At 37.7% G+C, this 17704-nt stretch overlaps 1 long non-coding RNA gene and 1 pseudogene across 2 annotated transcripts in view; one reads left to right on the forward strand and one right to left on the reverse strand.

The window, feature by feature from the left end:
- On the reverse strand, positions 6234 to 7193 carry OR11J1P (olfactory receptor family 11 subfamily J member 1 pseudogene; annotated as a pseudogene).
- The window catches only part of LINC02203 (long intergenic non-protein coding RNA 2203), an 87749-nt gene continuing 86053 nt past the window's right edge, over positions 16009 to 17704 (forward strand). For both annotated transcript variants that reach the window (NR_015416.2, NR_152818.1), the window contains exon 1: positions 16009 to 16101. This is a non-coding gene — a long non-coding RNA (long intergenic non-protein coding RNA 2203). The remainder of the gene's footprint in view (positions 16102 to 17704) is intronic.

Raw genomic sequence — 17704 nt, forward strand, 5'->3', positions numbered from 1 at the left:
TCAAATGTCTAATCCTAAATTTGTTAATCTCCTTTTAAATTAGCTCTAGCCATCCTTATTTTCTCATGGATCTATTGATTTATAGCATGAACTTGAAATCTTGAGAGTAGAATTCCTTACCATCTCATTCCCACTTCTAATCTGTCATTAAACAGATTAGGCATCTTCCCTGGGATCATTTGTCATCTTTATGCTCGTCTTTTTTGTGCAGGTTCCTAGCACTCCATATCTGTGATGGCATAATCACTTCATAAATGGTCTGTCTCTGTTATCTCCCATGTCAAATTCCAGAATTATGTTCTTGAACCTCCATCACTTATTTTCTCTCTACCTAAACACAGGAAAAAACCCCAAATTCTTTAGCTTGTAAATGTTTTTAGGTTCTTCTGAATTTCTTCTTAAACTTTATTTTTACCTTAATATGTGTCTCATCACTCCCATTTGACTCACTCTCTCTAATTCACAGAGTATAATCTTAGTTTTACAACCTGAGCTTAAAATTGTTCTATTCATACCTTGCCCATGTTTAGATGCCTCATACAAAACTTTCCTTGCCCACTACAGTATATCATAATGTTATTTTCTAAGTTCATTGCCTTTTGAATTTTGCCAAATATTTACTCAAAATTGGTCTGCCTTTTGGGTATCTATTACAGCATTGTTTGTGCTATTTTTTACTTTCCTACCAGTTAGAATATAAGTTTCTTTAGGGCAGGAAATACGATCTTTTTACTGCTCCTGAATGGCTTCTGCAATAGTAATAGCTCAATTATTGAGTTAACAAGGTTATTTGACAAACATTTATTGAGCTCCTATTATGTATTAGGCATTATCTGAGCACTGAAGCTATAGCAGTGATACCTATTCCCATGCAGTTTATATTACAGTATGGGAAGACAGGGATCAATAAATAGAGAAATAAATATGTAGGATACAATATTTCCTGTGGTGATACATTCTTTGAAGAAGGGCAAAGCAGATGATGGGAATAGATACTAGTGAGAGTGGGGATGCTCTTTTAAATAGAATAGTGTGGGATGGCTTCATTTAAGCTAAATTTTGAGGAGACCTATAGGAAGTGAGGGAGTTCTGTCCTTCCTATTTCAAGTTTACGGTGAGCAAGAAAGCAAGGCAATCATCAAAATGAGTGTGGAAATGCTCTAACAAGTACACTTAGAGATCCAAATCCAAATGGTGGCTATTAAGAAAGGCAAGAAGTTTGGTTTAAAAATGTGCCTGAAGATGCACCATTGAAAAATGGCAGCAGTGTGCAGGGACAATGCCACCTAACCCGCGTTCAGAGCGAAGCCACCTGGTCGGCCACCGGCAGCTTGGGGAAGAAGGGCATGTGGCGCGCCCACTCCACCTTGCTGAAGAGCAGCCGTGAAATTTTTAATAATATTTTTATTTAACCCAACTCACCCAAAATAGTATTTCAACATGGAATTAGTATAAACACTATTAATGAGATGTTTACATTCTTTCATCCCACCAAGTGTTCAAAACTGGTATTTGATTTTATACTTGGAGCACATCTTAATTAGGACTAGTCACTTTGCAGGTGCTCAGTAACCACATGTGGGTCGTGGCTATTGTATTGGACAGTACAGGTTAAAGAGAGGTCTAAGGACTAAATACAGACCTCAAATAATATTGAGGTTAAACAAATATTAAATTGACTTTATTTTTCAGAATGAAGTTTCTTTGCCTGGAGAGAACAAGCATGCTCTTATTTCACGTATTTTCCTAATTGAAATCCTGATTTTGGAAGGGGAAAGAACCCACTGAGTGTGCTACATGTTGGAACTAGTGACCTTACACATCCATGCTCCATCTCCTGGGAAAGTCTTTCCTGAAGAATTGTATCTTCAGTCTGTTTGTCCTGATTTGTCCCAAACTGACAGAAGTACCTGCAGAGCTGGCTAAAATTTCCCTTTCAGACATTGCTGTTTAGGTGAGAGTACAGAGTGGTTGGGAGGGTCAATCAGTTGTAGAACAATACTTAGGTATAATCCAATTTATATACCCACTCAAAACCCAGAGATTTTGCTTCTATATGTACAGAAAGAGGACTTAGAAATACATCCACCAAACTAAACACGCTGCTGAGGAGGCATGTGTGTGTGTAGAGGTGTGGAGATGTGAAAATTTTCACTATTTTGTAGTTTTTTCTTTACAACGACTATTCACTATAAAATATATGATTTATTTGTATAATTAAAAAGTAGACAAAATGGAATACAATTCATTTCAGTGTAGCTAAGCAAGCCCCAGTTAGTAAAACTTTTATGTTTTTATGTACACATTTAGACTAAAAACATACTTTAAAATATTTCAATTTTATATATGAACATCTTTTTCAAGCACAATGAGAGCTTAGATACAAGTGAGGATTTTAGTTATTCAGTTAATTATGGTTCGTTGGCCCCCTCCCCCAAGTCTAAGAATTTTTGGCTTAAAGAGAAAGAGTAAGTGAAGAATCCTCTATATCCATTCTTCACTAGTTCTAAGAAGGATGAAAGGCAAGTGCACAACACTAAATCTCACTGCAGCTTACAGAGATTTTCCAGATGATAATTTATTTACCTTTAGTTTAACTTTTTCTCTCAGAACTCCAGATAATGCAGTAGTAACTTATAAGCAGCACAGTATCTTCTAACATCATTCATCATGAGATAGACAAGTCCTCAACTACCCGAGACACTGTTTTACCCCTTACTCATCCTGCTCCCCTTTCACTGCTGTTGCATAGGTGGATAATTTGATTTCCACCCTGTGTAATCTCTAGAGGAAACATAGCTCAGAGATATGGAATAGTCAAAATGAATGGGTTGTTTGAGTTATTTCTCTCTCTCTCTCGCTCTCTCTCTGTGTGTGTGTGTGTGTGTGTGTGTGTGTGTGTGTGTGTGTGTGTTTGCTGTCCAGTATCTCCATCCCTTTTTATGTTTGAGGTAATCCCAATATTATCAGGCTTGGAGCTTCTATTTATGTAATTGTTGTTTATATTGCCAGATATTAGCTCTCCTAGCTTCCCTTGCACTTAAAGTTGTAGGAATGTACTCTTGCCTTTACCAGATACAGCTATACCAGGCTTTGAATCAAGAAGCAGAAGTAGGAAGAGCAACAATGTTGAAATATTGGCATAAGAAATGACAATGAACAGGCTGGGCGCAGTGGCTTGCGCCTGTAATCCCAGCACTTTGGGAGGCCAAGGTGGGCGGATCACGAAGTCAAGAGACCAAGACCATCCTGGCTAACACGGCGAAACCCCGTCTCTAGTAAAAATACAAAAAAATTAGCCGGGCGTGGTGGCTGGCACCCGTAGTCCCAGCTACTCAGGAGGCTGAGGCAGGAGAAAGGTGTGAACTGGGAGGCGGAGCTTGCAGTGAGCCGAGATCGCACCGCTGCACTCCAGCCTGAGACGGAGCAAGACTCCGTCTCAATTAAAAAAAAAAAAAAAAGACAAGAAGGTAGCACACTTATTGCAGAAAAGACAAGTTCCTAGAACAGAATGACAGTGGTGCTCATGTAGCATCTTGGTGGCCTATAGCACAGCCATGACTGCAGTCATGATTTTTCATCATCAGTTCTGCATGGTGGTTTGCATATGTATCTTTGAATTTGAGCCTCAACTCTGGCTCTTCAGCTTTCATTGGTTCTGTGAGATTCCTGCTACTCCATCAATAAGTCCTTTTTCATTTACATAATCAGCTAGAGTCAGCTTTTATTGGATGTAAGTGAGAACACTGGCAGAATTATACTCTAATAGAGTTATCTCAGGTGGGTATAGTCTCTACAATCTGCAGAGGGCAAGAAGAACTAACGCTTTGGCATTGCAGGTTGCTCTGAATTCTCCCTTAGCTCCACAGTGGTCTATGAAGCTTTATCCCTTAACGTATTTTATTGAAGAAAATATTCCAAAAGTCAAAATAACTTGGAAGAGGATTTGAAGATGTCTGTGTGTGTCTGGATTTTTTTCACTTAGCATAATGTTCTACAGGTTCATCCACATCGTCACTAATGGAAGAATTTCTCTATTTTTTAAGGGCCAAATAGTATTCCACTGTGTGTATATATCACATTTTGTGTATCTACTCATCTGATGACAAATACCTAGGTTGCTTCCGTGTCTTGGTTATTGTGAATAATGCTGCAATGAATTTGGAAGTACAGATATCTCTTTGACATATTGATTTCAATTTCTTTGGATATATGCCCAGAAGGGAAATTGCTTAATCATATGGTAATTCTATTTTAAGTGTTTTGTGGAACTTCTATACTGTTTTCCACGGTTATATTAATTTACATTTCCACCAACAGTGCACAAATGTTTACTTTTCTCTGCACCCTCAGCAATACTTATCTTTCATCTTTTTGGTGATAGCCATTCTAACAGATATGAGGTGATACTTCATTCAGTTGAACTCTTAAAAGTAGAGAGTAGAATGGTGGTTAACTAAGGCTGGAGGGAAGAGGCGGCTGAGGGGAGGAGAGATGTTGATCAAAGGATACAACAATTCAGTTTGATGGAAGGAATAAGATTTAGTGATCTGTTTCATAGAATGGTGACTATAATAAATAATAATGCACCACATATTTAGAAACTACTAAAAGCGTGGATTTCAAATGTTTTAACCACAAAAAATAAGTATAGGAGATGATGAATTTATTAATTAGCTTGATTTAATCATTTCACAATGTAAATGATTATCAAAACATCACATTGTATCCCATAAATATATAATTATCATGTGTTCATTAGAAATAAAATTTAACAAATAATAAAAGAGGTATATGTTCACAGAAAAAACTTGAATATGAAGTCTAATGTAGACTGGATGTTTTTAGTCAAATCATTAACTTTCTCTTCAACATATTGGAGACAACATCACAAACACCTCTCTTTCCTATCCCCCTAATTTTTGTGCCTTAGTTAAAAATATGAAAATTTCAGAGTGTTGGCAGGTGATCAGGTTAAGTAAAGAAGTTTATGTTAAGTGGTGACTTTTTTTAATTTTTTATTTATTTTTTATTTATATGTACTTTTTATTATACTTTAAGTTCTAGGGCACATGTGCACAATGTGCAGGTTTGTTACATATGTATGCATGTGCCATGTTGGTGTGCTGCACCCATTAACTCGTCATTTACATTAGGTATATATCCTAAAGTTATCCCTCCCTCCTCTCCCCACCCCACAACAGGCCCCGGTGTGTGATGTTCCCCTTCCTGTGTCCAAGTGTTCTCATTGTTCAATTCCCACCTATGAGTGAGAACATGCGGTGTTTGTTTTTTTGTCCTTGAGATAGTTTGCTGAGAATGATGGTTTCCAGCTTCATCCATGTCCCTACAAAGGACATGAACTCAAACATTTTTTGTGGCTGCATAGTATTCCATGGTGTATATGCACCACATTTTCTTAATCCAGGTGGTGACTGCTTTAAGGTAGCTTATATTTTGGTTGATAGAGTTGATTCCCTGGTATCCTATGTTTATTTTCTGTAACGGTAGATGTTTCTTCACTATAAGCTCAGAAAGTATAGAAGCCCAGGTTTGAGTAAGAAATATTTAATTATTTGGCATATTTGAATGTATGCATGCCCTTCTATGCATTCTCTTCAGAGCTGGAACAGGAATTTCCCTTAAGAATCTATACCATTTCTAGTTTTTATTTGCTGCGCACCATGAACACCTTACCAAGACTTAGTAATAAGGAAAATACAAATTAAAAAACATTCTTGTTTCAGTGACGGATTCTCGTTCTTTGATATTATAGATAAAGCAATTTAATTTTTGTGAGTACAGTGAGTAGATGCTGTTTTTCATTATAGAAAAACCTATAGTTGGCAAGGAAAAAACAGTTGATAAATTTAAAACACATTTAAGATACATAAAGTTGCATTAGGATAAAGCCAAAATACAAATTAGAAACATGGGTCTTAGCTTTGTACATACCAACTGAATTACATATAGTTTTAGGACTTAAAAAATCTCCAAAATGGAAAAATGATACATAGATGAATAAAAATTGTACAGATCTTACCTACGATGAAACTTAGGACTTTGTATACTTTTTGCTTTGAGATAGGATCAGGGCTCTTTGTGTGTAATGAGTCACGCTTTTATGAGTAAGAAGCCAAGTGCTCAGACATCACCAGAAAATAGTTTTTTTTTAAATGAGAGAAATTTTGCATTTCTTATGGAATAATTGTAGAAGAATGTATATCATTTCAGTGTGTTCCAAGATATTTCTTTTGATGGCACTCCCAGCACTTTTTTAAGGGCATCTGTCATATCTTTGTTCCAGAGACTGTAGGTCAGGGGATTAAAGAATGGGTTTGCTGTGCAGTAAAACAATGTCACAAATTTCTGTGTCCCAGGGTGGCTCCTGGAGCCTGGACTCACATACATCACCATGACTGAGCCATAGAAGAAAGAAACAACCAAGAAATGGGAAGCACATGTAGAGAAAGCTTTGTTCCTGCCTGAGCCAGCTGGGACCCACAGAACAGCTCGCAAAACTAAGATATGGGACCCAAGAATGTAGAGGAAGGTGATGAAGATGATGAGAGAGCTTACTGTAGCACAAGTCAGAGTAGTTTTGGGAACTGGGGCACAGGACAGTGCCAGCAATGGTCCCAGGTTACAGAAAAAATGGTCAGTGATGTTAGGGCCACAGAAAGGCACTCGGGACATAAGCACTGCAGGCATCAGTATGGATAGAAAACCACCTGCCCTGCAGAAGGCCACTAATCGGACACACAGGTGGTGAGTCATGACTGTGGGATAATGCAAAGGTCGACAGATGGTAAGGAACCGATCAAAGGACATCACAGACAGAAAGTAGCCCTCTGCAGCACACATGGAGAAGTAGAAGAACTGGAGCAGGCAGCCAGCATAGGAGATGCTCTTGATATGGGAGATGAGATTGGCCAACATTTTGGGACATCAGAACTAATGCAGCAGATCTCCAGGAAAGAGAAATTAGCCAAGAGGATGTACATAGGTGTGTGGAGTTTCTGGCTTGACCACACAGCGCAGATGATGGATGTGTTACCCATGAGGGTCAGAAGGTAGATGAGGGAGAAGACCACAAAGAGGAGGATCTTGGTCTCCCTGCAGCAGGCAGGGGAAGCCCAGGAGGATAAATTCACTCACAGGCCCAGAAATGTTATTGGCTTCTACGACACTCATTCTTCTAATCTATGAAGGAAATGAACGATAGGGACCACTACAATAGCCATTTTCTCTCTCTTAAAGTGTTATATTTATTTCTTTTGACTCCAAGACAATCTTTTAATGCACTTTTGTGAAAAGTTCCATATAGTTCTCAATTCAATAACTCACCTCCCATCTTTGTCTTAGTTCAATGAAATCAGGGTTATGGGAGAATGTGGCTCAACATGTTACTACGTGATCCCACAGCCTCCACTATATCATATCTCTGTTTTTCAGAGTGTAAGTTTCATTGACATCACATAACATAGGGTCCAAACGACTTTCTCTATTTGCATTTAAATTAATTCTGCTTTGATGTAATGTTTTGTAATACACATATTCAAATATTTATACATATAATTTCTCCCTATTAGAAAATTTTGTATTGTATTTTGAAAAATTCTAAGAAAAATCAGTTTAAACATAATCTAAAATTGAATTAGGTGAGTACAAAAAGAGAACCTCATTATGTTGTCAATAAATTATGTTTTTAGGAGATCTGTCCTGGATAGTTCTGTTGACTGAAGTAGGGTACTGAGGATGCTGCCACAGATTTCATGCTAGCACGTGTTTGTTTGTTCCGTATAGTGGCATTTAACTTCTATTTGCTGAGCAACAGCTAATTTGACACAGAAAAGTTGCCTTCAACCCTTTACTAGGAAGATCTTGCTCTATGATAGAAAAACAGCAAGAGGCAGATGGAAAAACATCTATTTCCTTAGCTCAGATGCCTTCTCATCTTGTTACTATACTGGTGATGAATTATCTTATATTAAAAAATAAACCATAAATTTAACTGTAAAAATGTGAGAGGAATACACCAGTGTAGAATGTTAGTGTCAGAAAGGACCTCTAGTCTTATTAAGCTCAATTTCCTCGTATCACAGAAACTGAGACCAGAGAGGTTAGAATGATCCAAAGTTATGTTGGCTGTTAGAAGAAAGAGGCCTAAAACTTAGGTGTTCATATATTCAGTTCAGACTTTTTCTCATAAGCCTCTGCTATTGTGGGACCCTGCTTTTTTTGTCAGCTCAGATGGTTGCAAAAGTATATTGTGTATGTATTATACTGTTCCTTCCTTTGAATTAGATCCCTATTTATAATAAAGGAGGACATTAACCAGGTTACTAACCAAAGCTGACAATTGCTACATCATATCCCCTATTCACCTTTGACCTGCCCTTTGCCCTAATTCTTGGCACCATTTATGGCATCAATCTACTTTTGGACACTTTCTTTAAAGAACATTTGACTTCTAAGATAGTAAGCATAACAACAACCACTGTCATGTATTAAATGTTTATTGTGACAGTTACATAATGTTCATTATCTCATTAAATCCTCCTCCCCTCTCCTCTCCAGTTTTAGAGTAGAAAAACACTCTCACATGTTTAAATGTACCATTTAAATTCTATTGTGCTTCTAAATACATTGAATCTAAAATTAAAGTTTTTATTCTGTCCAGCTTTCAGCTATGTATATAATGTGCTAGCTGTTTTCTCTCATTGCATCTGATTCCATTTGTTCACATGTAACTTGCTTCTATCTAATTTTTGCTTGTGAATTTGAAAGATTTGCCTCTGGACATCTGTGTTAGGAACTGAGGTTATATATCATAGGAAAATATTATTTACATATTTCTTATAGATTATGTAGTTTACATTAGATACATCACCTGAGGCCAGGTTTGTGTCCTTCCCTTCCATGCAGCGAGTCCTCCAGGCCCCAGGTAGGTCTAGAGGTGTTGTCTGGTACCCAGGGACTGGAGTCAAAAACCTTAGATGTCTACCTGGTGTTCTATTATACTGCAACTGAGCTGGCCCTCAAGCCACAAGACACAGCCCTTCCCACTCTTCCCTCTTCTTTCCACAGGCAGAGGAGAATGACCCTGTGGCCACCACCATCACAGGCCTATGGTGAGTAACTGCCACACTCCCACCTGTGTGTACTTAAGGCCCACAGGCTCTTCAGTCAGCTTGTGGTGAATGCTGCTATGCCTGGGAATCACCTTTCATGGACATGGGCTCCCCTCTGGCCCAGAGAAGCTCCAGAAATGCCATAAAAGAGCCATGGGCTAGAATAGGGAACCTCAAGAGCCCCCTTGATGCACTATGCCCATTTGACTGTGCTGGTACTTAAGGTACAAGACAAAGTCCCCTTGACCTTTCTCTTTGCTTCTCTCAAGCAGAAGGAGTCTGTCACTGTAGTCACCACAGCTGGGAATGTGCTAGGTCTCACCTGAAGCTAGTATGTCTCGAGTCTCACCCAAGGCATATGGCATACTATTTGGGTGTTGCTTCTCATTATTCAGGGCCCAAGGGCTCTTTAGTCAATAGGTGATGGGTCTTGCCAGGACTGGTTCTTTCCTTCAAGGCAGCAGGTTCCCTTCTAGCCCAGGGTGTGTCTAGAAATGTCATCTGGGAGCTAGGGCCTGGAATGGTGCCTCATGACGGACCAATATTCTTTCTTACTGTAATGAGCTGGGATCTAAGATGCAAGACAAACATCATCTTTACTCTTCCCTTTCTTTTATTCAAGCAGAAGTAAAGGATCTCTTTTGGAGCCACGAGCTGTGCTGCTGGGGTTAGGGGAGGTGTGGGCAAGGACTCTCTTAGCTGCCCCAGCTGTTGTTTCAGTAAGTCATGTGTTCCCAAGTCCATTGGCTCCAAGCCCAGCTCAGCACCAGGACTTGCTGTCCTTGTGGCCTAGACTGCCTGTCAAATTTATTTAGGACCCTAGAGTACTCCAGCTCATGGCGGCAAGGCTTGCCAGAACTCAAGCTCCATCTGCTGGAGTGGGCAAATTGCCCTCTGGCTGGACCTTGTCTAAAGGCTCCCTCTGTGGGTCTGTGTCAGCTGAGTTCAGCACAGTTTTGCTTTCCACTGTGATAGGGCAGCACTGAGTTCAATGCAAAGTCTCACGATTGCTGCACTTTCCCTCTCCCAAACACACATTTCTCTGTGCCATGTGGCTGCTGTAGTGGGGATGAGGGAGAGTTGGCATCAACAATTCACGGCTCTCTTTCTGACTCTCTTTAGTGCCTCTTTCAATGATACGGAGATAAAACCAGGTATTGTGAGTGCTCATATTATTTTTGGTTCTTATGAAGGTGCTGTGTTTGTGTAGACAGTTGGTACATTTGGTGTTCCTGTGGGAGGACAATTGATGGAGCTTTCTATTCCACCATTTTGCTCCAGCCACTTCCAAATGCTTTTTCTTTTTCTTATCTATTTATTTTTGAGATGGAGTCTCACTCTGTCACGAGGCTGGAGTGCAGTGGTGCAATCTCCGCTCACTGCATCCTCCACCTCCCAGGTTCAAGCAATTCTCCTGCCTTAGCCTCCTGAGTAGCTGGGGTTACAGGTGCACACCACCACACCCAGCCAATTTTTGTATTTTTATTAGACATGGCGTTTCACCATGTTGGCCAGGATGGTCTCGATCTCTTGACATCGTGATCTGCCCACTTTGGCCTCCCAAAGTGCTGAGATGACAGGCGTGAACCACTGCACCCGGCCCCAAATGCTTTTTCTGAATCTATGGAGATTATATGTTTTTAGTATTTTTGTTAATGTGGTGTACTACATTTATTGATTTGCATATGTTGAATCATCCCTGCATCTCAAGGATAAATCTCTCTTGATCATGAGGTGTGATACTTTTAATGTGCTGTTGAATTCTGTTTGTGAGTATTTAAGTTTGTTGAGAATTTTTGCATCTTTATTCATCAAGAATATTGACCTGTAATTTTCTTATCTTATAAAGTCTTTGGCTTTGATATCACAGAAATACTAGCCTCATTTAATGAGTTTGGAAATGTGGTTTTTCTTCAATAATTTGGAAGAGTATATAAAGAACTGGTATTTTAAAAAAATGTTTGGTGGCATTTATTAACAAAGCCATCTCTTCCTGAGCTTCTTTGCTGAGAGGTTTTTAATCAGTTTTTTATTGCTGATTCAATCTTCTTATTCATTATTGGTCTGTTTAAATTTTCGGTTTCTTCATGATTCAGTCATAGGAGGGTGTACATTTCCAGAAATTTATCATTTCTTCTTGGCCTTCCAATTTATTGTCAAATAATTGTTTATAGTAATCCCTTATGATCATTTGTATTTTTATGGCATGAGTTGTATTGTTTCTTCTTTCATTTCTGATTTTATTTATTTGAGTCTTCTCTATTTTTTCTTGGTTAGTCTAGCTAAGATTTGCCAACATTATTTTACATTTCATCGATTATTTCTATTGTTTTCCTATTCTGTATTTGATTTATTTAATTTCTGTTCTAATCTCTGTTATTTAATTCCTTTGGTAAATTTGGGCTTAATTTGTTCCTTTTTACTTCCTTGAAGTTTAAAGTAAGGTGGGTTTGTTTTTGGACATTTTTCTTATGTTTAGAGTAGATGTTTATTGCTATACTGCCTCAATACCACTTTAGCTGCATCCATAAGTTTTGTTATTTTGCGTTTTTGGTCTTTTTTTATATGTAGATACATTCTAATTTCCCTCGATATCTTTTTGACATAATGGTTTTTCAAGAGTGTATTGATTTCCACATATTTGTGAATTTTCTAGTTTTGCTTGTTATTGATTTTAGTTTTATATCATTATAGATAGAAAAGATACTTTTCCTACTTACATAATTTCTATATTCTTAAATTTACTTGTGCTTGTTATGTGGCCTAACAGATGACCTATCCTTAAAAATGTTATATAGTCACTTGAGAAGAATGTGTATTCTGCTGTCACTGGATAGTTCTGTACATGTCTATGAGGTCCTTTTGTTTTATAGGATGTTTAAGATTGCTGTTTCCCTACTGGTTTTCTGCTAGAGAGTCATTCCCATTATTGAAAGTGGCGTAATGTTGTGTCTCATTGTTATTTTATTGCTGTCTATTTCTCCCTTCAAATCTGTCAATGTTTGCCTTATATATAGTTAGGTACTCTGATCTTGGGTGCCTATACATTTATAGTTGTTCTAACATCCTGATAATTGACCTTTTTATCATTATATAATGACCTTTTTTATTTCATGTGACAGTTTTTAACCTAAAGTCTATTTGGTCTGGTATAAATTTAGCCACTCCTGCTGTCTTTTCGTTATGATTTGCATGGAATATTTTTTTCCCTCCCTTCACTTTCAGCCTTTGGGCATCCTTGAATCTATAGTCTCTTGTTGACAGCCTATAGTTTGATTTTATTTTTTAATGCATTTGGACGTTCTTTGTCTTTTGACTGGGGAATTTTTAATCCATTTACAGTCAGCTGGATGTAGGTTCCACATCCACAGAGTCAACCAACCATGCATAAAAAAAATCACACACCCCCATAAAAATAACAATGATAAAAAATGGAATAATAAAAGTAATGCAAACTAGATGGTGTAACAAGTATTTATATACTGTTTACATTCTATTAGATATGATAAGTAATCTAGAGATGGTTTAAAGTATAGGGGATGGTGTGCATGGGTTATATGCAAATACTATATCACTTAATATAAAGAACTTTAGCATCCATAAATTTTGGTATCCACAGGCGATCTTGAAACCCATCTTTCATGGATACTGTGGGACAACTGTATTTACAAAGTTGTATTAATAAGTAAGGACTTGCTATGGCACTTCATTTTATTTTTTCTGTCTGTGTTATAATTCTTCTTTCTTTTTTCTCTTGCTGTTTTCTTTTGTGTTCATTGATATTTTTGTATTGATATGTATTTATTTCCTTTTCTTTTTCTTTTGTATATTTTCTGTAGTATTTTATTTTTTTGGTTACCTTGGGGCTTATGTAAAACATCATATATATGGAGGCAAAGTTTATTCTAAGCTAATAACAACTCATCTTTAATCACATAAAAAATTCTGCACTTCTCCCACTTTGTTATTGATGTCACAATTACATCTTTTATATGTGTATATCTACTATTATACTTCTGTAGTTATAGTAATTTCTACTTTGTTGTCTTTTGACTTTCATATTAGAAAAAGGTGCACCACCATTACAATGTTGCACAATTTTGTATTTGTTTAAAAAATTAGCTTTTCCAGTAAGTTTTATATTTTAATATGCTTAGTTATGCTTAGTTTTGCTATTTAGTATTATTTTGTTTGAGTTAAAGAGCTCACCTGTCATTTATTTTATGACAAATCTAGTGGTGATGAAGTTGTCTCTCTCAGCTTTTGCTTGAGAAAGTCTTTATCTATTCTTCATTTTAAATTTTTTTCCAGAAATTGCATTCTTGGTTGAGAATTTCTCTCTTTCAGCATTGTCTTGCTTCTTCAAAATTCACTCTTTTTGACTTTTGACATATAATTATAATATGTCTTTGTGTGGACTTCCCTTGAATTTGTTTTATTTCAGTTCCATTTGGCCTCGTGTATCTGTATGTCCTTTTTCTTCTACAGATTTGGCAAGCTTTTAGCCAGCACCGTACTTTCCTTCTTATTTTTCTCTTCTCCATCTGGAACTTTTGTGATCAGTATATTATTTCACTTTATGATGTCCCTTAAGTCCGTAGGTTCATTGGCTCTTTTTTATTCTTTTTTCTTTTGCTCCTTTGTCTATGTAATTTGAAATGACTGGTGTCTGGATTAGCTGATTCCTTCTTCTGTTTGATCAAGTCTACTTGTGAACACCCCCTAGTGATTTTTTTATTTCCGTCATAGAATTCTTAGCTCCAGAATTTCTAATTGTTTCTTCTTGTAAAATTTCTATATCTTTACTTCAATATTTTTATCTTGCTCATCTATCATTGTTGTGATTTCATTTAATTGTGTCTCAGTGTTCTCTTGTGGCATGCTGAATTATCATGGAGCCCCAGAGCTCTCCTTTCCTCATGTGTGCTTCTTCTTTCATATGTGATAACTATAATGAACTTTAACAAATCTCAAATTCGAGTACATTCCCAATCACCTTCTAAAAGTAACCTCCTAACCTCCACTGATTCCTCAGATGTGGTAGTTTGAAAGTTGTTCCCATAGATTTCAACTACAGGCCAACCAGAGGGGACCCATGGCCACTAGAATGGTCCAGTGACCTTTATACTTCAGTGTGTGTAAGAATCACCTGGGATCCTATTTAACATTCAAGTTTCTGAGCCTTCCCCTAGCCAGTAGATTTTATATACAAAATGTGAGGGAACCATTACCCTTTTCAAGTGATTAAAAAAAAATCAGAGGTGAAGCAATTAGATTTGGCTACATTTAATTTGATGTTTTATCTTTCAAGAGATTGGGATGGTTCTAGTGAAAATTATAGCTAATCTGAATACGGCTTCTAACTGTTACTGGGTGTTTATGTCATTTCTTTACTCTGATCAACAATATTGGGCAGGTGTAGTGGCTCACGCCCATAATCTCAGCACTTTGAGAAGCCAAGGCGGGAGGTTCACTTGAGCCCAGGAGTTTGAGACCAGCCTGGACAACCTGGGGAGACCTCCATCTCTGCAAAATAAAACAAACAAACAGACAGACATAAAAACACCTAGCTGGGCGTGTTGGTATACACCTTTGGTCCCAGCTACTTGGGAAGCTGAGGTAGGAGGATTGCTTGAGCCACAAGGTCAATGCTCCAGTGAGCCGTGATTGTGTCACTGCACTCTAGCCTGGAAAACAGAGCAAGACCCTGTCTCAAAAAACAAACAGCATACGTCTTATTGTTTTGTTCGCTTATTTCTGAAATAATCTCGTTAGTAAAGCACTATACTTGATAAACAGTCTGATTTAATGAATAAGGATTTAAACTTTAGATTTTGGAGAGACAAGATTAACTAACTGTTGATCACAAGGAGCACACTGTGCAACAAGCTACTCTGATAGGACAAAAGTCCTAGGAGGGCTATATAAGCAAAATCTCACTCAAGGACTGAACTTTAAGCCCTATTCACTTTTAGCTAATCAAGTGATGGGCAAGTTGACATCTATAGGGAAGAGAGAAGAGGATGTGTTTCTGAGCTTTCCTTCTTCAGTCAGGCAACTCTGTGATTCATTAATTTCCTCCCTTCCTCCTCCACACCCTGGCATGTTGGCCCATAGCCACAAGGTGGCAGGATAACCAGTAACATTTTATTCAAGCCAACTGAAGCCCTGCGGGGGCTTTGAAGTTCACACACACTGTCCACCTTCCACATACTGATGCTGGGAGCAATTTAGAGCAAACATCATCCAGAGTCATATTACTAGATGACTGGATTGCTTCTTTTGTCCCTCAATCCTGCTCTCCTTTCAGTGCTAACTCAAGGAAACACTAAGTTTACACTTTGCAGGAGCCCCTGGAATAGTTAAAGCTTTAAACCATTTCACATCCAACTCAATGATCTGTTACAAAAAATACCTGTTGGTTTTCTGTCACTTTAATGGATACCTAGCTTCCTTTTATAAATTGGCATTACAATAGTCTGGTATTAGTATTGATCTGGAATCTATGTGCTTCCAGATCAGTCCCATTCCTTTTACTTTTAGAATAAGACAAAATGTAGCTCAGACACCATTCTTCCATGAAACCACATCTCTCTAAGAAGATGCTGGAAAGTCAGTCTTTCTCAAAAAGTAGTTTTCCCCTCAAGTTTCAACACATTACTCCACTGTAAGTTTAGACAGTATAAATATGTATAAAATATATATATATAATATATATATATTTTAGTATAATATTATGCTTCAGCTTTTCCTGCATGTTTTTCTTTCTTTTCTCTTACACCCTTCTCTGTGATCTCATCTGACAATCACTACCATGGCAACCAAGCCTCTGTGACGTTCCAGCAAGCTCATTGTCTTCTCTTCACTAAACTTTAGTTAGTAGTTGGTCCCAGTCAGTAACGCTCTGGGAGGGCTCAGGCCACATCACGAAATGTGACAGGATAGCCTTGAACTCATCAATTGCTGGGTAAGAAAGAATTTTAATGCAATGGCAAACAACCAATCAAACAAGCAAACAAAAACAATAAACCCTTCCTTGAGGACCAAGAAGACATTGATTAGCTAACCTAAGAGCTCCAGGTGGAGACCTAGGTCCTGATTGGGTTTCTGAATTTGACCACTAGGCAGAAAACTAGCACCCAAAACCAGTTGGAATAAAATTACCCACCTACAGTGGAGCCAAGGCCCCCAGATCCTTTTTGTCAGGTAAGAATAGGTTGAAATAACCTGGCTGGTTGTGGGACAGGCCCCCTCTGTGAGTGGTGCAGTTAAGGACACCCAGACTGCCCTTTCACTCTGCTTTCCCTGGGGTAATGTGTATGGCTCCTAGTCTTTCACGTTCTCTTCTGTAATTCGGGAGGAGGAAGAGAAGATACTCACTGCACATATTGTGTCAGTTAATACTAATCTGAGAGCAATAATTTACGATCTTTTGAGGTGAGGTTTGATTTTTACCACTGTGCTGTTCCTGTCTCCTAATATGTTGTATCAGATTGTAACTAAGTTGAGGTGAGAATTAATTGAGGACTATATATTTGAGCCTCCTTAGAATCTCACCCACCTTTGAGATAACTTCATGTTTTAGGTTTTCTCAAGTCAGAGTGTTGAGTCCTTAAATCAGTATATGCTGGGCAGTGAAAAAACACTGGTACACTTTGATTGCCTAAGCTTAGTGACCAGCAGGGGCGGTGGGAGGCAGGCCTTTTTAACACCTGTCTTTGCTGAGTTTCATGCTGAAAAAGCCTTGAGGCTCAGACTCAGCCCACAGGTCTCTGCACTCCCTCCATCTCCCTTCTGCCCTTTCCATGCATAGCCTTCACAGCAGTTTTTTGTGAATTATTTATTTTTTTGAGCTCTCTCTTAAGGATAATTTTTCTTAAGAAATATTTACTCTCAATATTATAAAGGTGTAGAAGTTTATTGTAGAGAAATGTGGGAAAACATATTGGCAAAAAGAATATAAGGATAAAACCATTTAAGGTTTCCCCTTCCATCTATACTTATATTTATAGTTGGGCTCTAATGGCGTTTAAATGCAAAATGTAATATACATGTTTATTTATATTTTTAAAATAATAATTGATTAGTTAATTCAACAATAATAATTGTTAACATTCCAGACACTACTATAAATACTCATGAATACAGCAGTGAACAAAATGGATAAAAATTCCTGACTTGTGGAAGTTATATTGTAATGGGGGAAGACGGGGTAAATAAACTATGTGGCATGCTTGGGGGGCGATGAGTAAAGATGGAGAAAAATTAGAAGGTTCAGGTCAATAGGAAGTGTGTGTTGGAGGTGACAGGTGGCAGGTGTACATTTTTCCCTCAGCTTAATTAAGGTTTAATTTGAAAACATTGTATATATTTATGGTATACAAGGTGATATTTTGATATATGTGTACATTGCAAAATGATTAAATCAAACTGATTAACATATCTGTCACCTCACATGCTTGCCATTTTATTGTTGTGAGAACATTTAAGATCAACTCTCTTAGCAATTTTCAAGTATTCTTTTGGCCCTTAGTATCTGTGGTTCTGCATCTGCAGATTCAATCACAGAT

This window comes from Homo sapiens, chromosome 15 (genome assembly GCF_000001405.40).
Source record: "Homo sapiens chromosome 15, GRCh38.p14 Primary Assembly".
Lineage (NCBI taxonomy): Eukaryota > Metazoa > Chordata > Mammalia > Primates > Hominidae > Homo > Homo sapiens.